Raw genomic sequence first — 20,644 nt, 5'->3', positions numbered from 1 at the left:
GCACAGCACTTTGGTTCTTCTGGTCTTTTAACAAGAAATGGTTGATTTTAGGGTTAGATTATGCAACTACTCATTTTCAGAAAACAGAAAACCCCCTGGACTTCAATTCAGAATCTGATTTCTAGGCTTCCACCCATGTGGTTCCACTGGTGTCCTGCAGGGCTTGTGAGCGGGTCCGAGTGCCGCTGTCTCCCACAGGACTGCAGGGCAGTGTGAGCCGGGTGTGCCGCCTGATCCAGCCCAGCAGCCGAGCCCCAGCCTCCGCCCCAGGCCTTGCTTTCCTTACCAGAACTCGAGATTACCGGCCTCTCACCAAGTACGGTTGCGCTTTCAGTCCAGACTCTTCCCTGGTTTGGATGCTGGGTTGACTCTTGGGCGTGGGGGCTGCTGCAGTGCAGAGTCAGGGCCACGGAGGGCTCTGAGCGTGTGCCTCCCTGCTCTGCACCGCTCCCCTTCCGGCATCACTCATCTGGGCCAGAACAGAGCAGCCCCCTGAGCTGAGGGGAGGCAGGCGAGGGCCACGGCCTCCTCCTTCCCTAGGCCTAGACTGTGACACCCCTGGTTCCCAATTCCCTGCAAGATCTGGGCTGCCCCACAGCAGGACGGAGCCAGGTGATGGCCCGGTGTGCACCTGAGGGCTGGACTCAGTCCCTCCAACCCCCTTGAGGTCTGGACGTCAGGCTGGGGGCAGGGAGTCCCTGCCCAATGCCCTGGGGGGAGCAGCTCAGAAGCTCCCCTTCCTCCCCCCCGCCGTTTCTTGCTGCATGATCTGAGGCCAGCTCTGCAGATGTCCCCACCAGCACCCTCAGCCCAGGCCAGTCCAGCAGGTCTTGGGGTTTGCCGCCCATCTCCTCTCCTGTAGGACTCCCAGGAGGGTGCAAGAATCCAGGCCGGGGGTGGCTCACGCCTGTAATCCCAGCACTTTGGGAGACCGAGGCGGGGGGATCACTTGAGCTCAGGAGTTCCGGACCACCCCGGGCAACATGGCGAAACCGTCTCTATTAAAAATACAAAAATTAGCCTGGCATGGTGGCATGCGCCTGTGGTCCCAGCAACTCAGGAGACTGAGGTGGGAGGATCACTTGAGCCTGAGAGGTTGAGGCTGCAGTGAGCTGAGATCACACCACTGCACTCCAACCTGGGTGACAGAGAGAGACCCCAGCTCAAAAAAAAAAAAAAAAGGGAGGCCAAGGCACGCGGATCACCTGTGTTCGGGAGTTTGACCAACAGGTAGAAACCCCGTCTCTACTAAAAGTACAAAAAATTGGCCAGGCGTGGTGGCGCATGCCTGTAATCCCAGCTACTTGGGAGGCTGAGGCAGGAGAGTTGCTTGAACCCAGGAGGCAGAGGTTGTGGTGAGCCAAGATTGCGCCACTGCACTCCAGCCTGGGTGACAAGTGAAACTCCGTCTCCAAAAAAAAAAAAGGAATCCAGTTTCTGCAATCCCTCAAGCCTCCAGCTGACATTCCCCATTCATCGGCACATCGCGCTGGCTGTCCTCGCCATCCCACCCCCGGCCCAGCTCACACTTGCGGTCAGCGGTGACAACTGCACACTGCCTGGTCTCCATAGGTGTCCCGGTGTCCTCAAGGCTGCGGCAGGACCCTGGGCTTGAGCGCCCAGGGAGATGGATGGAGCGCAGGCCCCCACCACAGGGGTGTGAGGATTTGGGATCCCCCAGACGGAAGGACCAGCAAGGCTGTGTCCTGGGGCAGCTCCCGGGAGCCAAGGTACCACAGGCTCCCCATCGTGTGTGGGGTGGAGGCTGCCAGTCCCAGGATTCCAGCGCCCCACTACTGCCACCAGCCAGGGCACGGCAGGGGTGGTGTGGGCCCGCAGAGAGGGCGGGGCTGGTGCTGCGCTGGCAAGGGACCCTCAGGAGAGGCCCTGAGACCCTGAGGGAGGACCCTGGGGTGCTGCTCCTAGGTCCACTCCTCCCTGCTCAGTGGGCCACACGTGGGGACCGATGGCATCTGTTCTGGATGTGGCCCCATGCAGTGCCTTGAAGGATGGGGAGGGACTGAGCAGGGCGCTGTGGTGGCTGCAGGGGACCCTGGGAGTGGCAGGACAGTGGGGGAGGGCTGAGCGGTTCTCCCCATCTGATAATTTTGGGGGAGATGCAGGGCTTCCTGCTACCAGGCCTGACCCAAACAACTTCCTGGAGAAATGGAAGGCAGGCCATGGTGGCGGTGACAGCCCAGGAGCCCTTAACTGCCACGAGCAGCTGCCAGAAGGACACTGCCCAGACCCTGCAGCCGCCTGCACATCAGCACTGGTGTCACTCCTCATTAACCACCTTGTTTCGGCGTGGAAGGAGGTGCTGTCCTTCCAACGGACAGAGGAGGAAACTGAGGCTCGAAGATTCCAAAGTCCCACGAAGTCGTGGAGCTGAGACTGACCCCAGGCCTGTGGGTCCAGCACGCCCTTTCCACCATGCCAGATGGCGGGCACGTGTCCGGGCAGGAGGTCAGAGCTCCGCCTTATCTGCTCTGGACCAAGACACAGATTTGCGAGCCTGGCCCCTGGGATTCCCTTCAGGTTAAAGGCCGCAGGCAAAACTGTAAGCAAAGTGGAAAAGGCGACGGCAGGCCCCTCGCTGAGAATTGCAAAGTATTTCAAGACGGTGACAGAGGGCAGCAAACCAAGCACGGGCCTCTGGCCACACAGGTCTTGGCCAGGCGGCCATACTGGGCCCAGCCACTGAGAGGACAGCCCGGGGAGTCCGGCAGGAGGGAAGCCACTCACCTGGGGCCCAGCCTGCAAGAGACGGTGTGATCAGAGACTGAGACTCCATAATCAGATTTATTTTCCTCTAATAAGACAGTTTAGCATCTCCGAGTTTTGCATTCTACAGTCTTACAAACTTTAGTTATTAGCATCAGAAACACAAAAACATTGCAAGACCTCAAAACACAAATAAATACCAAATAAAACCACACATAATATACAATAAACAAAACTAGAAAACAGTAATGCTATCAGGAAGTCAGGCATGTTGCTAACTCACAGTAACAACATGATTATTGCTGGGCAATAACTCACGGTCTTTTTGTTTTTTCTTAGAAGAGCGGAAAACAGGACCCAAATCACTGGTCACAAAATCACTTGGACTGTCAAGATGTGTCTTCACAGCAAGCGGCTACTACAGACGCAACTTTTAAAACAGGCAGATTAAAAAGACAGGGTCAAATGAGAGATTGGCCTTCTTTGGTCTTTGTTTTTGGGTAACAGAACCGAACAGAGGCACCGGCAGAGAAGAGGCTGCGAATCTGCAGATGCTGTGCAGCGTCGACACTGCCCTCCACACTTCACAGACCTTCTCCTACAGGCATTTCTTACAGAAATCACCGGACATCATGCCAGCTTGTGTGTTTTCCAATTAAGTCATTGAATTTGCTGTTGGAGGGTATCTTACTTGTCTGAGGGGACTAAGTTGTCAAATCCAGTCATCACCTAATTACAGGAGCGGTACAGCGATCCTGGACTTCTAGCCTCTTTTCACGGTGAGAGTTCACAAGACAGACTAGACACAGTGCAGCAGGAGAAATGAAACGCAGGCTCTGCTTGGCCACCGGGGCCTCCTCACCCGCACACCTGCCAGCCCCGAGACGGCCGAGGCTTCACACGTCTGCCCTGCCACCGCATGTGGGGCACACCAGGATCAGGTGGAAAATGCCCTTGCAGTGAGCTGCTGGCCCCGCCTCACGCCGCCTGCTGGCCCGGCTCCCTGATGCCACCGTGCCTGTGACCATCAGCATCAGCCTGGACGAGGCAGCAATAATGACCAGGTAGCCTGCCGACACTGACCTCGCCTGGCTAGGACCCCGGTGCGCACATTCTACTTTGGAGAAAACAGAGCTACTGAGATTTGCAAACGGAAAACAGAACTATGGTCATGGGCTGAGAAGTAGATTTGGGTGACAGACCCTCATTCACCTCACAGATACAAAAGCAAGGGGGCTTCCCCCACTCTCCCTAGCTCTCCTTCTGCAGTCTAATAAGTAAAGATCTGGACTAAAATTTTTAAAAAACAGTATTTTACAGCTCTGCCAGAGCCCTTCTGACACACAAATTACCCCCAGTAGAGGGAGGAGTCTGGGAGGGCCGGGGATTGAGCAAGGGGCCCGCAAGGGGAGTCTGCACCCGCCCAATCCTGCAACGGCCCAAGGAGACAGTGGCACTGCCACCCTACTGGGGCTGTGCACAGGGTGACGGTCCTCAGGCCAATCCTCCCCGTGCAGGGGAGAAAGGAGGTGTCAGCCCAGCTGTTGGGATCAGTGTACTCCCCGGCCCTCCCTTGGGCTGACAAGGAATGACCCCGCTGCGGACAGAATGGTCGTTTAAGGACCCATCCAGACTCCCCTTCCTTTGTCCAACATCACCTCTGGCTGTAGGATGTGGGTCCACCATGCTGACTACCACCAGACGCCATCAAGCAAAAGGGGTGCTGGAATGTGACGTTGGCATGGTCGACATCCATGGGACACGTGGCCCCTGGCCCAGGGTGACTGAGGACCCTGGAGCAGGCTGACGTGGTCTGGGAGGCAGCTGGCTGTCCCAGGGGCTGTGCCTAGAACTGCATCCTCACCGAGCTGGGCCACACGGGGTCATGGGGAAGCCTCCTGCCACAGCCAGTGCAGTGGGAGCCCTGGCAGGTGGTGGGCCTGTGGGGCCCGGGCTGAGGAAGTGGCCCAAGGAGCAGGAGCCCCAGTATGCCACACCATGGCTCCCCAGCGCCACAGGCCAAGAAGGGCACGGGGATGGGGCAGGGAAGGAGAAAGGAGGGAGAGGCAGGAGAAGCTGCCTGAGCAAAGGGCTCCCCTGTTCAACTGGCTGTTGTGGCATCGAAGGGACACAGGTGCTGTCCCTCGGCAGAGACTGCTCTGGGGAGGAAGGGGTGGTGGAATGGGGCTGCAATGTGGGTCATAAGGGCCCCCTCTGTCCACCCGCACAGGGAACACACATCTGCAAGTCCAGGCCTTCGCCCAGGGGTCCGGCGAGGCTTGCGCTCAGGAGACAGAACCACATTCATGCTTGATGGCTCCTAGAATTGACACAAATCCCAACCTGGCCGCCTGTGTGTCACCAGAGCACGGCGAGCTGAAAGGCCCAGCGTATGTCGGGGCTCACTCAGGCTCCCTCCAGCCCAGCTGGGGCTGGCATGTCTAGTCCCAAAGCCAGGCCCCGTGGGTCCCCCACTTCCACACCCTCACTGAGCCACCCAACCCTGCTAGAAAGGCCCTACTCCCAGCCTGGCCCCCATATCATCACGGACACACCCCAACGTCTAGCTCTGCAGGCTCCGCGGGACAAGCCCTAGAACCAGAGGGTCAGGCTTCCAGGCCCGGCTGCGGCTTGCACGTGGCTCAGTGTGGTCACAAGAGCCAGTGCCCTTCACGTGAGCCGGGCCCAGGCCAGCCAACCAGCGTGCCTGGCAGCAGGGAGCAGCCCGAGCCACGGTGTCCTGAAGAAACTGCTCGAGGCGAGGGGAGAGGGGACGTTGTTTTGTTACGAAGGTGACGGGGAAGCAGACCGGCTTAATTCATGCACAAACGACTCAGTTGGTTTCTGTAAAGTACTGAGCAGCTCTGTCCTGCTGGGAGTCTGGTCATGTGTGGTAAACAAGCAGCACCCCCAAGCACACAGTGTGCGCCCCCATTTCCCGCTTGCTGCCAGGGCCCTGTGATGCGGGGAGGGCCGATCACTGCCCAAGGGGCCACTGGGCCTCAGCTGCAGAGAGACCATGGCCCCAGGCTGGCCCAGGTGGCCAGCGCCAAGTGAGGGTGCCCAGGCCGAGGGTGGAGCAGCGCAAGGCTTGCCCGCCGCCGGGAGAGGGGACGCCGTCCCAGGCTGCTGCCCACTGTGTTGAGTACATGAGAGGAAGACACACTCAGAACAGAGACCCCGATACAACCAAACACAAAGACAAAGCGCGTGACACAGGCCATCCCATCCTCAAGGACCCCCATCACTCAGGTTCAAGGACAAAGTGTGTGACATAGGCCATCCCATCCTCAAGGACTCCTGTCACTCAGGTTACGTCTGTGGGACCCTCAGGTGGGCCCCATGGCGTCCCGCCAGGAGCGTCTGCCTGGGAAGGGCTACTGGAGACGTCCCAGTGACACGCACTGCTGCTTCTGGGGGCCACACCAGGACTTCAACCCAGAGGGGAGGAAACGGTTCTTACTAGACCAAGATGTTGCATATCCTTCATCTAATATTATACATTTTGTGAAGGGGAAGTTGCAGGGATGTCCCTGTTGTTAACCCCTGGCCTCAGGAAAACTACCTGAGGGCAGGTAGGGGACAGGCCTCAGGTGGGGGACACCTTCGAGGGAACAGTAGTTTTCCGCAGCTTCTGCAGGAAGTCCTTCCTTTATGAGCAGGGACACACGACTCCCTCACAGGGCAGAACCAAGGATACTCATTCCCCCAAAGTAATCCCAGGAGAGCGGGGAAAGGAAAGGCAGATAAGAACAACGGAACGCTTCGACCGCGAAAGGGCGCGGCGGGCCCCTCACGGGAGCTCAGGGCACAGGGGTGCGACGGAGGGCACTTCCAGCAGGCACTGGGGCGAAGGCACACCCAGGACAGATGGCAGCACCAGAGACAGGTGGGCCACCGGGCACCCACCAAGCTGTCCCCGCGCGGCCACGGGGAGAGCCGAGGCAGGCAGTCTGACGTGCACGGCCCAGCTGGCCAATTGTGGGCGCGGCTTGTGGGCGAGTGGCACAGGTGTGACAGTTCGCACACATTGGTTTTGCCTAAGAAGCACCCGTCGCGTGTAGCACCCATCAGTGGTAAGAGCACCATGAAGCGTGGTGCATAGCAAAAGGGGTGCAGGGGGCAGGCTCCAGGCTTCTAATCACAGTTGGACACTGAGAGACAGTAAACAGTGAGTTGAGAAAATGCCATCTGGGCAGGCACAGGCTGGGACGACGGGCCCCGTGGCCACCCTTCCCGCCAGGGTGGTGGTCAGGAGCGCCCGTTGGTCAGCCTGGGCAGGCCCCCGAGCAGCGGTCTCTGGAATGCTCAGAGGGTTCTGCTTCGGGCTGTGGGGGTGCCCACGGCCCCGGTGGGGACACGGAGAGGCTCGGCTTCTGTTCCACACCTGCCTCCCTCAGGGTGGGACCAGGCCGTACTTGGACCAGGCGGCTCACTCGTGGGGCCTAGAGATTTGGAATCTGTGGTAATTAAGCAGCGGAGGCTCCAGAAGCCGACGGTGGAGCCTGGCTTCCCCTCAGCAGGTGCAGAGGTGTCTGAGGGCCCTTGTAGAGACAAAGATCTAGTGGTGGAGAGAAAAGTCTGGTTAAACTAGCACTTTCTAGAATGATGCTCAATGCAAACCCAGGGTGGAGAAGCAGCATGTCCCATCTAAGGCACGTGGGCCGTATGCCACCAGCTCTACGCACAACGTTGCTTTCGGAGACCGTTGACGGCATGCAGCAAGATGACGGGATGGAGAAACACACCTGCGGGCCTCCCTCAGCAGTCACCCGCCCACCCCTGACATGGAGACCGAAGGCCGGTGCTGTCAGCAACAGAGAGCTCGTCCGAACACATGGGGCAGAATCCAAACACCTACAGGATTTTGTTTAGAACTCCAAAGTTCAACGGATGCCCTATTTTAGGGTGAAAACAATTATAAATCTGAAAATGATGCACAGCATCCATGAGCGAGGCTCCGTTCAGAATTGTGAAGTCGTGTCATTAACTACGACAGATATTTGAAGGTTTACATTTCTAACGAGAAATAACAACAGGTTGAATATTCTCTTTCCTATCACAAGTGATAACCAGTGTTTGATATTTTATATTTTCTTCCAAGAAATATCAGTCTATCAACGTTTTAAAATAAAATGTTTGCAGTAACAATTATTTGTAGAACTTTAAATTAAAAAATGATTCTGAATTTAGAGACTTTCAAAAAAAAGACCTAGGTATATACTTCAGGGTCTTCTGACAAACAAATTATTAAAACAGAGACCAGATGAGGCCTTAAAAATAGACAATATACTGTATTTGAAACAAAATTGCACTCTTGAATTTTAGAAAGAAGATATCAGAATTGCATTACTATTTCATAAATTCTCCTTTTACTTAACATGCTGACATGTCCAGCTATCCCCACGTGTGTGTGTGTGTGTGTTTTTTTGGTGTTCAAGTTTAAGGAAGAAAAATCATGTTTCTTTTGTTTAGCATATATGTTTTCCACCTTAATTAACTAGATCTTTAAAAATGAAAATGAAAACCTTCTCTGACAGCAATATTTATCTTGTTGAAGGATAAATAATTCTTCAGAGTGAAGTGTGGCTAGTCTATTATAAAACGTGTCAGGTGTGCTCACGCGTGGCTCCTCCCGCCGGCACGCGTCCGCCTTCTGCCGCTTCCTCCGTCTCACAAGGTCCTTTTCTGAGCGCGAGGACCTCAGTGAAGACAGACCGGTTCAAATCCCCCAGAGGAGTTGCCTTCTGCTAAATCCACCTCCCCAGCTACTTATCAGGGATCGGGCAGATCCGAAGTATCCACTATGACTTTAATAAAAATTGTATCATCTTTAATATATGTCCCATTTTCTAGAACAGTTTGGGCCACAAAGACTGGGCAGCCAGAGGCGATATTCATCTCTCCAGTGGGCTTCTTGAAGCTGCTGCTGTTGGGGTCGGGCTTGAATGCATCTCCCAAATGACGTCGAGAGGACCCCTGATCCATCAGCATGAGTGTCACTTTCTGCTTAAACGGCCAAGGAAGCAGGGCATCATATTCTCCACGCATGATGACAAAAAACAGCGACAAGTGCGTCCCCTTCCCCATCCCGTCCCCGTTCAGGTAGACCCTGGCACACATCTTATAGCCAAAGTAACCAGTGTAGAAAGGCTGGCTGTAAAGGGACAGGGTCTTCCCCATGACGGCCTCCTGCTTCCGCCGCTTGTAGTCGCGAATCTTCCAGATGAGCACTCCATTGTAGCTGGCGGTCTCCAGGACCTGGAAGCGCAGGTCCATGTCGGCTAGGCGGATGTCGTGCACACTCAGCATCTGGTCATGCCGGCTCAGCTGGGACTCCAGCAGGCCTGCCACAGGTGAGGAGGGTTTGGTGAATGAGACAGGTGAACGTCAGAGAGGTTAGGAAAGCAAAGCTGCACCAGCACTCGTTATTTTATTTCATTTTTTTGAGACGGAGTCTCGCTCTGTTGCCCAGACTGGAGTGCAGTGGCACCATCTCAGCTGACTGCAACCTCTGCCTCCCAGGTTCAAGCGATTCTCCTGTCTCAGCCTCCTGAGCAGCTGGGATTAGAGGTGCCTGCCACCACGCCTGGCTAATTTTTGTATTTTTAGTAGGGACAGGGTTTCGCCATGTTGGCCAGGCTGGTCTCGAACTTCTGACCTCAGGTGATCCACCTGCCTCGATCTCCCAAAGTGCTGGGATTACAGGCGTGAGCCACCGTGCCTGGCTCTTTTTTTTTTTTTTTTTTTGAGATGGAGTCTCGCTCTGTCGCCCAGGCTGGAGTGCAGTGGCACAATCTCGGCTCACTGCAAGCTCCGCCTCCCGGGTTCACACCATTCTCCTGCCTCAGCCTCCCGAGTAGCTGGGACTACAGGCGCCCGCCACCATGCCCGGCTAACTTTTTGTATTTTTACTAGAGATGGGGTTTCACCGTGTTAGCCAGGATGATCTCAATCTCCTGACCTCGTGATCTGCCCACCTCAGCCTCCCAAAGTGCTGGGATTACAGGCGTGAGCCACTGCACCCGGCCTCATTTTTTAATTTTTAAAGAGGCAAGGTCTTGCTCTGTTGCTCAGGCTGGCATCAAACTCCTGAGCTTAAGTAATCCTCCTGCCTCAGCCTCCCAAAGCACTGGGACTATAGGCCACACCACCATGCCCAGTCATACCAGCATCTGAAGCAACAATATAAAAATCACTGTGGTTTCTGGGGGTAACACCAGCAAAACTGTGTAGAAGATGTCCTGAGGCCACCGCCTCCCAGGGAAGAGCCCAGGTCCCTGCCCCAGTTCTACCACAGCTCTCATGCCCACAGCCCTGTCTGTCTGGACACATTACTAGGCACAGACTGCTGACAGGGGATGTCCTGGGCGGTTGACCTGCCTGTGTGTCAAAGGACACCTCACTGCAGGGTCCAAGACAGAGTGCTCCACTGTGGCTTCCTGGGAAGCCCGCTGGTGGGAGCTCCTGGGAGCAGGAGACAGCTGTGCTCTCCCCACTCCTCCCTCCGGCCTCAGCACCCACAGGTGGCCTCTGCTCTCTTGGAGGCGAAGCTGCTCCCCTCTCCTCCAACCTCATTCTCTGCCTGCTTCATCCGGCCCCACACACACACCGGTAATCTGTGTTCCTTTCTGCCATTAATCCTCCTCATGTAAATATTCCCAATACTCTTTCAGTCCCCAAAGCCATAGGCCCACATCTGCTTGTGGATCAGAAACATGCTGGCAGAGCGCGGTGGGACTGCTGCCCCCTGGCCCTTAGGAGTGGGGTCTGGGGCGCCCCGACCAGCAGGTCCTGGCCTCTGCCATCTGCGCTTGGGCCTGTCCTGTGGGTCACCCTGCGGCCAGTCTCTCCCAGGAGGGCTTTGCAGCTTCCCGTGGCTGCAGCTGCCCCTACTTTCTACACCATGTAGGGCCTCACACGGAGGGGACAAGCCTGCGCGGGAAACGTTTGTCTTTGCTGGGGGACTTTCAGTAGGAAAGTCATCACACCTCTGCGTGTTACCCATAATTAGAAAAAACTGTCCTAAGGCACATGTACCTAACATAGCCCTCATCCCACGGACCCCGCCCCAGCACTCGCCCGGGGCCCAGATGCACACTGCTGGCCCGGCCCCGGCCCCTGCCTCACCTGTGTTCCGAGCCACTTGCCCCGCGCTCTTGTCCACGCTCTCCAGCTCGGTCACGCGGTTCTGGAGGGACTCCACGCTGCTCTTCATGCTGTCTGCTTCCTCCCAGTTCTGCCGGAAGGGCCGGATCTCCTTGTCAAGCTCCTTCAGTTTCTCTGCTTGGCTGTCTATCACTCGCTTCCAAACCAAAGGTGTTAAAAAGCAAAACACAGTTAGGACTCGGAAAATGCTGCACCACCTTCCATCAAATACAGACAGGCTAGGAGCAGAACAGTCAGAGGCCCCTGTATGAGGCCTGCCACCCGCGGCTCTGACTCCAGGAGTGGGGCTCTGCATCAGGCCTCCTGGGAGCTCCCTGGGATCAAGTGCTTGTGCCGGCAGGGAGCACTCGAGGTGACATGAAGCCACATGGAAGAAAACAACAGGAGGCTCCACTAAGTCAGCTTGCTTTGTCAACAGAGAGCCATCAGGAAAGCAAAGTGACAGGTGGCAAGTGTTCAGAAGACCAGGGGAGAGGTCTCCACTGTCTCTGGGGCAGGCAGCAGCTCATGCTTCTGCTGCCCACAGCAGGCTTCCCTGTTTCACAGTGGCACTGGTGCCGCCTGCCCGCCTGTTTCTCACACACCCACACCCTGGCATCAGCCAACCCCACCAGCTCTCCTGTTCAGATACCAGGATCCGACCTCACCCTCACACTCCCATGTGTCCCTCCCAGCTCTTCTCCCAGGCCACAGCACCTGTGCGGGGCCACAAGGCTCCCATGGACATCTCCTCTGCAGCCCTCGTATACCTCGGGGGCCATAATACAGAGGGTCCCTGCTTCCCAGAGAGGCCTCACCCCTGTAAGTGCAGGTCCCACGGGACAGGTGGCCCTGCATGGCTGCCACAGGGTCTCAGGTTTAGGATGCCAGAATCATGCCCATGTGGCCTCATCTTCCCTTGGAACGTCTAAAGGCCTCCTACCCTGCTGCTGGGTCTGGGGCAGAAGCACAGTCCTGTCTCTGTGGCTGCAGGGGGTTCCCCAGAACGACCCCAGGGTCCCAGGAGAAGACTCCCACTCCTCAGACCCCTCCCACCTGGATGGTGGCAGGAAAGGGCCCCAAGGCATGTCCTCAGGCCCTAGGTGAAACCCAGTGGGCCGATGCTGCAGACGCAGGGGTCTTCCCCCTCCAGCTCCACACTCAGGCTGCCAGGCCCCAGCGAGGGAGGCAGGAACGCAGAAACCCTGCCACGAACACACGAGGCTGCCAGTAACCAGGCCTGACTTTATGCTACTTCATTTAACTAATTCAGAAAGCCCTTTCCCAAAACACACAGGCTGCTCATATTTGTCACTACCTGGAGGGGTGGGAGCTGTACTCCGCCCTGGTGGCCCAGTCTGTGTTAAGGGGCTGGAGTGTCCACCTGTGAGATGAAGCCAGGGACTTAAAGGGTTTTCACTTCAAAAAATGATGTGCATTTTCAAGCAGCTTGTGATGGCTGGAGAGTTCAGTGCTCAATGCAGCTGTGGAATGACTGAGCCACCTCACAAGCTGAGGGCCACACCGGGTGCTCGAGGGGCGGGCCCCAGGGCCCCCTGAATTCACTTCTCCTTTTGGAAGTCTATTTTTAAACATCTAGGTTTCAGCACCTTTGCTGGCTGTTATTAACCACAAAGACACAAACATGACAGGTCTGGGTGGCTTTTTGGGCGTAAAAGCAGTGTTATTCTTCCTGTTCTTTCCAAGAAACATGATATTAGTTAACCTCTAAAAAGTAAGGATAATTTCTCTAAAGAACACCTCTTTCCACTGTCACTGTCCCTTTAAACTGACACTGTCACTGTCCCTTTATTTTACACAATCATACATGTTCAGAAGGATATTTAATTAGCTCACCAAGTCTATTTGCTGGGGGACAATACCACTGACGACACTGAACATCCAAATACACGGCTCCTCTAGTGAGCACCGGAAGCCTCTCGCATCTCCACCTTCTAACACGCACACTGAGCTGGCAGGGGTGCTCGCGAGTGGCAGGGGAAAGTTAATGAAAACCTGATCAACAGAGGTCTGAGAGACGCCCTTTGTAACTTAGCAAACCCCGAAATGAAGCATGAGTCCCAGGCAGGGTGGCCCAAGACAAGCTGCGCCTCACGCTGAGCCTCAGGCCCCCGAGGTTAAGAGGGGGATGGCACCGAGCCACCCCTCCCCGCGATTGTGCTACGCAAGGGCACGCCTGACCTCAAGCACAGAACGGGGAGTCTCCAGCAAGGACTCCCCCACACAGCAGGGGCCCCCGAGTCAGGAACACACAACATGCGTGCACCGCATGCACAGACCAGCACGACTAAATAAAAGGCGTCTCCATGAGCAGCAAGGGAACTCGGGCTATTTTTAAAACAGGCACTTCATCTGTATCAATGGCACCATTTCAAAGCAGAACGCAGAGTCACATCAAGTGTTCTCTAAAACGCAGCAAACGTGATTTCATCCTTGAAGAACGGTCTACACTCAGTCACTGCAGTTTCTATAAAAAATAAATCTCAAGTGCAGGTATGGAATTGTACAGAAAAAAGACTCCGACACAGAGCTGAAGAGACAGACTGCACTCCACATCAACAATCCAAATCAGAAGGTTTGCCTTCAGGGAGCATCAGCCCGTGAGCCTTATACACTTGCATGCCAGGGCTGCAACCGTGTCACCTGCTGTGATGCCTCACTCTCAGGCCACTGCGACCCTGGCACACAAGCCCGGCGCTGTGAGAAGCCCGGTGGTGCCGGCAGCCTGAGTGAAGGCCGCGTGGATGGACGTCCCTGCCTTCTGTCCCAGTGCGTGCTCCTCTACGTGTGCCCTGTGGACCCCCTGACTGTAAGAACCACCAGTTCATCTAGTCCACTGACACCAGAAGCCTGGGTCATGCTCGCACCTATGCTATCTTCTTTTTTTTCTTTGAGACAGTCTTGCTCTGTCACCCAGTCTCGAGTGCAATGGCGCAATCTTTGCTCACTGCAACCTCTGCCGCCTGGGTTCAAGTGATTCTTCTGCCTCAGCCTCCCGAGTAGCTGGGATTACAGATGCCTGCCACTGCGCCCAGCTAATTTTTCTATTTTTAGTAGAGACGGGGTTTCGCCATCTTGGCCAGGCTGGTCTTGAACTCCTGACCTCGTGATCCACCCGCCTCGGCCTTCCAAAGTGCTGGGAATATGGGTGTGAGCCACCGTGTCCGGCCTACCGGCCTAGGCTGTCTTTTTTTTTTTTTTTTTTTTTTTCCGAGACGGAGTCTTGCTCTTTCTCCCACGCCTGACTGCAGCGGCGCTATCTCGGCTCACTGCAAGTTCCGCCTCCCGGGTTCACACCATTCTCCTGCCTCAGCCTCCCGAGTAGCTGGGACTACAGGCGCCCACCACCGCACCTGGCTAATTTTTTGTATTTTTAGTAGAGACGGGGTTTCACCGTGTTAGCCAGGATGGTCTCGATCTCCTGACCTCATGATCCGCCCGCCTCGGCCTCCCAAAGTGCTGGGATTACAGATGTGAGCCACTGCATCCGGCCTGGCTGTCTTCTTAATAAAGAAAAACAGGATATTTAAGAAGTAAAATATTAAGAACTCATCGTTCCCCGGACAGGCAAAAAAGCAAAGACACTCTTGAATTCCACTCCTTGACCCCCTGCCTGCACCCCCACTGCCACAGCCAGGCCATCGGGCCCTCTGTGCTTCGACTCCCGCCATCACCAGGGCTTTAGGGTCTACTGGAGAATCAGACAAGGAAGAAAGAAGAAGACCCCAAGTGACGTGTGCCCTCATCACCTAGCTGGTCCACAAACATGGCTGGAGGAGTGCCTGGAGCTGGCCAGGAAGGGAAGCAGGAGAAAAAGACATCTGTGCAGCAGCATGGAGCTTGTCAAGGAACAATGAGCGGGTCCACTTTAGCGCAGGGAGTGGGGCGAAGCTGGGAAGGTGACCGGTGGCCAGGCACAGAGGTTTTCTGGGCCACAGTAAGATTTTACGATAAACCCTTCCTGGGGCAACAGGAAGGGCTCTGAGGATGAAACAGTGGGGAACACGGCTGAGCTGGGCTGCTGCTCAAGAGGGTAGGCGGGGCCTGCAGCAGCAGAGGGATGGCCTGGCCCCGTGCAGCTCCCACACAGCCAGCACCTCTGGGCATCAGAAGGCTTTCAATCAGCATTTCCTGAGGATGGACAGTGCAGAATCCTCCTGGCCAAAGACCACCAACCCCACAGTGGTCCCAAAGGTAACACTGAATTTCCCCTTTCAAAAAACCACACGGTTGGAAGGACCTTCTGTGTAGACCACGCCTGCTCAACAGGTCACATGGAGAAGAGTTTTCACATGTTTCAGGCAGAGCCGTGTCCCTGCACTCAGGGGAATCAGGCGCGGGCAGCCTGCTCTGAGTCCCTTCCCTAAACACAACCTGCTCTCCGCCACGCCCAGCCTCCTGTGGGGAAGAGGCAGGTGCGCCATCACCTTCTACTCGTCACAGGTCAAGGGACACTGACCGCTGCCGTCACCACTCCATCCTCACTTCTCTGCCCTTGGCAACTTGGCTTCCCCCTTTCTTTCTGACTTATGCTTCATTGGTTCATCCAATCACAAAAGTTTTCAAGTAGAAATCACATACCATAGAGTGATTAAACTCGACTAAAAAGGAAAGTAAATGACAACACCTGACTGGAAGGGGAGAAACTGAAGATGAATGCAGAGGAAATGTGAGGTTTGGGATGGGGCGTTGGTACATCACTGTGTATATTCTAACTTTTTGTTGTAAATGAATCCAGTACTTGTGCATTCTTCCTTCTGTTGTGGCTATTTTAAGAGGTGATTTCCCCGGCCTTTCCAGTGCCTCTCTGAGCCCCAGGTCAAAACACAGCAATAATCTCATGAACAGCCAGAGCTGCTTGCCAGGGAGCGCAGGTGCAGGCGGGCCACAGGATGGCCAGGGCCCCGCAGCAGTGGCCTGACCAGTCGCCTTGGCCAGTCTGATGACTGACACATCACTGGGCCCTCAGCAAAATGCTAGGGGCTTCCAGCGGGAGGCTTGGTGTTTTAAGAAACATTGTACTTTATTTGGCTTGATTTAATGCTAATGACTTGTGCCTTTTCTAATACAATCTAATGTTTCATTGTGTTTTCTCCTTCTCTCTCTGGATAACTACAAAATATAATAAAAATGAAATTAATTTAATAAATCCCTACGCAATTCAAGTCACTATGACTCATCTCCAATGTCAAAAATTGGAGAAAAGGCATTCTCAAAGATGCCATGACTCTGTGCTATTAGAAGTAGTTTCTCTTCCAGATAATCTAGGGACACACCGTCTAAGTTCAGGCCCTTCAGTGACATGAGTGATTCTTCCACGGTGTGTGACACACCCATGGGAAGTGCTATCACAAATGCACACGAGTAAGTGAATGTGCAGAGAGCATCTACAATGATCATCTATTAACAAGCACCCCACAGACACCTGTGACGACAGAAGACAGGAGAAGCGACATTTCATCAGTCCCCTTTACATCATCGCCTCTATTCAGGGGAGCAAAGGTTCACTGGTTTGTTCTTCTGGAGGTGCGTGTGGATTTCCACAGTGAAACCCAGCGGGTGAGCGCGTGTCACTGGAAAGCTCACACAGAGTAGCTGGGCTGCACAGCACCTCACTGCAGGAAGTGAGACTTTGCACACAGCAACTACTCATGAACAATATGAAATCTTAAATAATAAAAACAGCTAATTTAACAAATACAAGCTTCGCATCTTATTTCTCCAACGGTAGATCAAAGGCATGGAAGAGGGGTGGAGGCTTGCTCTCCAGAGAAAAGGCAGTTTGAAAACGCTGACCTGCGGCTTCCCAGGCCGGGCCTGTGCTAGTCCAGCTGCCTTTTCTAAGCCTTCACTTAGGCCAGAGAAATCAGTTGCCTTTCTGCTTGCAAAGGTCAAGGACTCAGCTCAAAGAGTTTGCTAAGAAACCCTTAAGGGGAACACAGGCAAGCTCCTCCACCCTTTGATCTGGCCGTAGTCCTAAGATTCTTACCTGTAAATGAAGGATTTTGGATTCATTATTTCGAAGCATTTCCTTTTGTCTCTCAATTTCAATTTCAAAGCTACATATCTGATTGTGCAAACTTTGTATGCTCTTGTTTTTTTCTACACTTTCATTCTGCAACAAGGAAACCTAAAAAAGAAATTCTTTAATTAATGTAACCAAAAGTGGTTTTCATATTAATTAACAACAATATCAATTAAATTTTCACAATATAGGCCTTCTGTTAGCTTATTGACAGAGTTTCAGAAGAAAAAAATCCCTTCACACAGAAAATGACAGTCCTGGTACTTTTCTTTCTTTCTTTTTTTTCCCCTCTAGAGACAGGGTCTTGCTCTGTCCCCAGGCTGGAGTGCAGTGGTGCAATCATAGCTCACTGCAGCCTTGACCTCCTGGGCTCAAGTGATCCTCCCACTTCAGCCTCTTGAGTAAGCTAGGCCTACAGGTACATGCCACCACCATGTCTGGTTAGGCTTTAAAAAAATAATTTTTTTAGAGATAGGGTCTTGCTATGTTGCCCAGGCTGGTCTCAAACTCCTGGCCTAAAGTGATCCTACTACCTCAGCCTCTCAAAGAGTTGGGATTAGAGGTGTGAGTCACCATACCCAGCCAGTCCTAATTTAATAGGGAATGCTATAAACAGTGTTTCTCAGAATCTCTTCCAGTAATTAGGGTGAGGCAAAGTGCAGCGGCTGATTGAATTTCAGAATAAATCAGATGCTTTTTCAAGTTTTTGCTAAAAACTAGCAAATCTTTTATCAGAGTATTTTTCAATTGTTGACCAGGTAACATAGTAAGAAACAGATGCTTATGTATCACCCCACTTATACCAACGTGTGTGTGTATCCCTGAAAACAGATGTCATAAAGCTGTACTTGCCCTAATAATTTACAATGCACCCTGATTTTTTTTATTCCATTTCATTTAAGAAAATACTAGTCCCTGGAGGATGTTATGCTAACTGAAATAAGCCAGGCACAGAAAGGCAAACACGATGCACTCTCATTTAGACGTGGGATCTAAAAAAGTCAAGCTCACAGAAGCAGGGAATGGTGGTTACCCGGGCTGGTGGAGGTGGGTAGTGGGGGTAGGCTTGTGGAGCTGCTGGGCAAAGGGCACAGAGCCTCAGTTAGACAGAGGGGCGGACGTTTTTGAGCCCACTGAACAGCATGGTGACTGTGATTCATACTAACGTGTGTTTCAAGACTGCTGGGGGAGCAGATTTTAAACAAAGTGATGTGATGGATATGTTAATTAGCTCGATTTAATTATTCCGCAATGTGTGTGTGTATATACCAAAACATTACACTGTACCCCATAAATATAAACAATGCTGGTCACAACCTACTAAATTATTTCACATCCACCCAGGGGCCACACCCTGCAGTTTGAACAGCTCTGCCAACATAATGAGAGCGTGACGAGAATACAAAAAATTACATGGGTGCTACACCCTTGGGGCCAGCCTGCTCACCCTCAACACGGAGAGGCAGAGCTGATGCCTGAGGATACCCTTCCACGGAAGCGCAGAAGAGCCCCTGCAACCCACATCAGCCAAAGGGAGGGCTTGCTGAGTGAGCATTTCCAACCCCACATTTGACCTTTCCAAAATCTTTCTGAAAGATAATTAGCTCCCAAAGACAAATTAACACCTGGTCTCAAAGATGAAAAGTTCAAGGGTAACTCCAACGAGGGTTTCTTTCTCACAAGATTTTTACAAAGGGCATCTTGATCCCCCATCTATTAACGAGTGTCTCTGTCTATCCATTGGGGTGGTGGTCTCCACCCCAGAAGACCCTAAGCTCTGTGCCAGATCCGATGTGTGCCTCTCCAACGATGTACGCTCTAAAACCACCAATGCGTGGGGACCAATGGTCACAAAGGTGATGGCCCGAGGGCATCTCGGCACAAAACCAGATGTGATAAAGAGCTGACTCCCGATGCTGTCCATCTAAAGGGTAGCCAGCCTAAAGATGGGTGTCCTTTTCATATTCGGCACAGTTGGCCAAGTCAAGAGACATCTTTTGAAGCAATCACCGTCTTATTTTAAAACAAGTATGTATTTACTAAGGAATACAAAACTTGCAATGTCTCATGGGCAAAATATAACTTCACTTTCCTAGGATTTTACTCCGCAAAGGCTTTCCTTCCTTCCTTGCCTCATACGTCCATGAACTCCTACAAGTGATCAACCTGCACGAATGTGGAGCGGGCCATATGCAGCATCGCGTGGTAGTTGTGTCCCTCTGAAAGTAACAATTCATTCATTTCCATCTGTCAAAGACGGGACAGAATTCTCAGACTCTTTATTCTCATATCCCTGCAAAAAGATGACATGTATGCCAACTCTTTTGAAAAAATCTCAGTAATGTCTCCAAAACATTGTCAATAGGCCAGCTGTGATGGCTCATACGTGTAGTCTCAGCACTTTGGAAGGCTGAGGCAGACGGACCACTTGAGCCCAAGGAATTGAAGACCAGCCTGGATAACAACATGGCGAAACTCCATCTCTACAAAAAAACACAAAAATTAGCCAGGTGTGGTGCAAACGCCTACAGTCCCAGCTACTGGGGAGGCTGGATGGGATCACTTGAGCCCAGGAGGTCGAGGCTGCAGTGAGCCATAATTGCGCCACTGCTCTCCAACAAATCAAGCAGTTGAGTATGAGCAGAAGCAGCTTACAGCAATGAACACACATCATGCCACACTAAACTCAACTTCTTTCACTTTAGGACTTCCCTTATTTAAACTACTTATTTATTTATTTAATCGAAGAATCCAACTCCCAGGTCCTGCAGATCACTGCTTCCACTCTTCTAGCAGGGAGATGCCATAGGCACAGGAAAGTCCACCTGGCAGGTGTGTTCCAAGGAGCCGGCAAAACACCGGCCCAGGAGGTCCGAGGTTCTCTGCAATGAGAACATCCTTTACTCCAGCCCACTTTGGTGGGCTTTACATTTCCCCTCCATTTAAGCTCTCTTAAAATATAAAATGGGTGTTTTTAAGTCCAGATTTTGCAGTTTTTCTTTAGTTTGACTATGAATGTGAGGATCAGTCTTTTTTTTTGGAGACGAGTCTCACTCTGTCACCCAGGCTGGAATGCAGTGGCATGATCTTGGCTCACTGCAACCTCTGCCTCCCGGGTTCACGCCATTCTCTTGCCTCAGCCTCCCGAGTAGCTGGGATCACAGGCGCACACCACCACTCCTAGCTAATTTTTTGTATTTTAGTAGAGACGGGGTTTCACCGTGTTGCCCAGGCTGGTCTCGAACTCCCGAGCTCAGGCAATCTGCCCGCCTCGGCCTCCCAAAGTGCTAGGATTACAGGCATGAGCCACCGCGCCCAGCTGAGGATCAGTCTTTGTGAACCCGCTCAAACATTCTATTTTCTAAGACAGATGAACAAAATAACCTAAGAAATTCCAACTAAATAATTCTATAATAAGAAATAAATTCCCATTTTAAGTAAACATAAATATCTCTGCTGTTTGTCCAGCCTTTGCTTTTGGACCTAGCAAAGGGCACCATACACCTTCTCGTGAGCACAATGAGAACGTGCAGAGCCGAGCTGGCTGGCCTGACAACAGGGCGAGGACTCTGCTCTGATGGACAGAGTCCGGGAGAGATCAGTCCTTTGGCAACGTCCAAGAGGGAAGTGCACAGTTATGCATCCTGCACTCTCGGGGCTTCCATCGTGACTTGGCTGGAGATAGTTTAAACACATGAGGCATTGACAGAGTGAGAAACTGCTGCA

General features: G+C 53.1%; 1 protein-coding gene across 18 annotated transcripts in view, besides 5 other annotated features; it reads right to left on the bottom strand.

Annotated features, from left to right (window-relative positions):
• Nucleotides 13-602: an enhancer, noted in NCBI's record as "H3K4me1 hESC enhancer chr14:103380019-103380608 (GRCh37/hg19 assembly coordinates)". NCBI's record gives its function as "activates a minimal SCP1, AML or CMV promoter by ChIP-STARR-seq in primed H9 embryonic stem cells {active_cell/tissue: H9 hESC(primed)}" and the evidence as "EXISTENCE:reporter gene assay evidence [ECO:0000049][PMID:30033119]".
• Nucleotides 603-1,192: an enhancer, noted in NCBI's record as "H3K4me1 hESC enhancer chr14:103379429-103380018 (GRCh37/hg19 assembly coordinates)". NCBI's record gives its function as "activates a minimal SCP1, AML or CMV promoter by ChIP-STARR-seq in naive and primed H9 embryonic stem cells {active_cell/tissue: H9 hESC(naive and primed)}" and the evidence as "EXISTENCE:reporter gene assay evidence [ECO:0000049][PMID:30033119]".
• Nucleotides 2,784-20,644, bottom strand: part of TRAF3 (TNF receptor associated factor 3) — a 134,052-nt gene continuing 116,191 nt past the window's right edge. For 16 of the 18 annotated variants that reach the window (NM_145725.3, NM_145726.3, XM_011537117.4 and 13 more), the window contains 3 exons: nucleotides 16,883-17,023; nucleotides 10,855-11,029; nucleotides 2,784-9,071 (listed from right to left, as the gene is read on the bottom strand). In NM_145725.3, coding sequence (NP_663777.1) covers nucleotides 8,500-9,071; nucleotides 10,855-11,029; nucleotides 16,883-17,023 — 888 coding nt within the window. In that variant the 3' untranslated portion in view covers nucleotides 2,784-8,499. Of the gene's footprint in view, nucleotides 9,072-10,854; nucleotides 11,030-16,882; nucleotides 17,024-19,010; nucleotides 19,212-20,644 lie in introns of those variants that run through there. The other 2 variants (NM_001385142.1, XM_017021620.3) reach the window with 2 other exon arrangements.
• Nucleotides 12,351-12,780: an enhancer, noted in NCBI's record as "active region_9091". NCBI's record gives its function as "activates an Ori minimal core promoter by ATAC-STARR-seq in GM12878 lymphoblastoid cells {active_cell/tissue: GM12878}" and the evidence as "EXISTENCE:reporter gene assay evidence [ECO:0000049][PMID:35858748]".
• Nucleotides 13,099-13,598: an enhancer, noted in NCBI's record as "H3K4me1 hESC enhancer chr14:103367023-103367522 (GRCh37/hg19 assembly coordinates)". NCBI's record gives its function as "activates a minimal SCP1, AML or CMV promoter by ChIP-STARR-seq in naive H9 embryonic stem cells {active_cell/tissue: H9 hESC(naive)}" and the evidence as "EXISTENCE:reporter gene assay evidence [ECO:0000049][PMID:30033119]".
• Nucleotides 13,599-14,100: an enhancer, noted in NCBI's record as "H3K4me1 hESC enhancer chr14:103366521-103367022 (GRCh37/hg19 assembly coordinates)". NCBI's record gives its function as "activates a minimal SCP1, AML or CMV promoter by ChIP-STARR-seq in naive H9 embryonic stem cells {active_cell/tissue: H9 hESC(naive)}" and the evidence as "EXISTENCE:reporter gene assay evidence [ECO:0000049][PMID:30033119]".

The sequence above is a fragment of the Homo sapiens genome, chromosome 14, assembly GCF_000001405.40.
Source record: "Homo sapiens chromosome 14, GRCh38.p14 Primary Assembly".
In the NCBI taxonomy this organism is placed as follows: domain Eukaryota; kingdom Metazoa; phylum Chordata; class Mammalia; order Primates; family Hominidae; genus Homo; species Homo sapiens.
The sequence above is the reverse complement of the archived record's forward strand: the minus strand, read 5'-3'. Positions and strand labels throughout refer to the sequence as shown.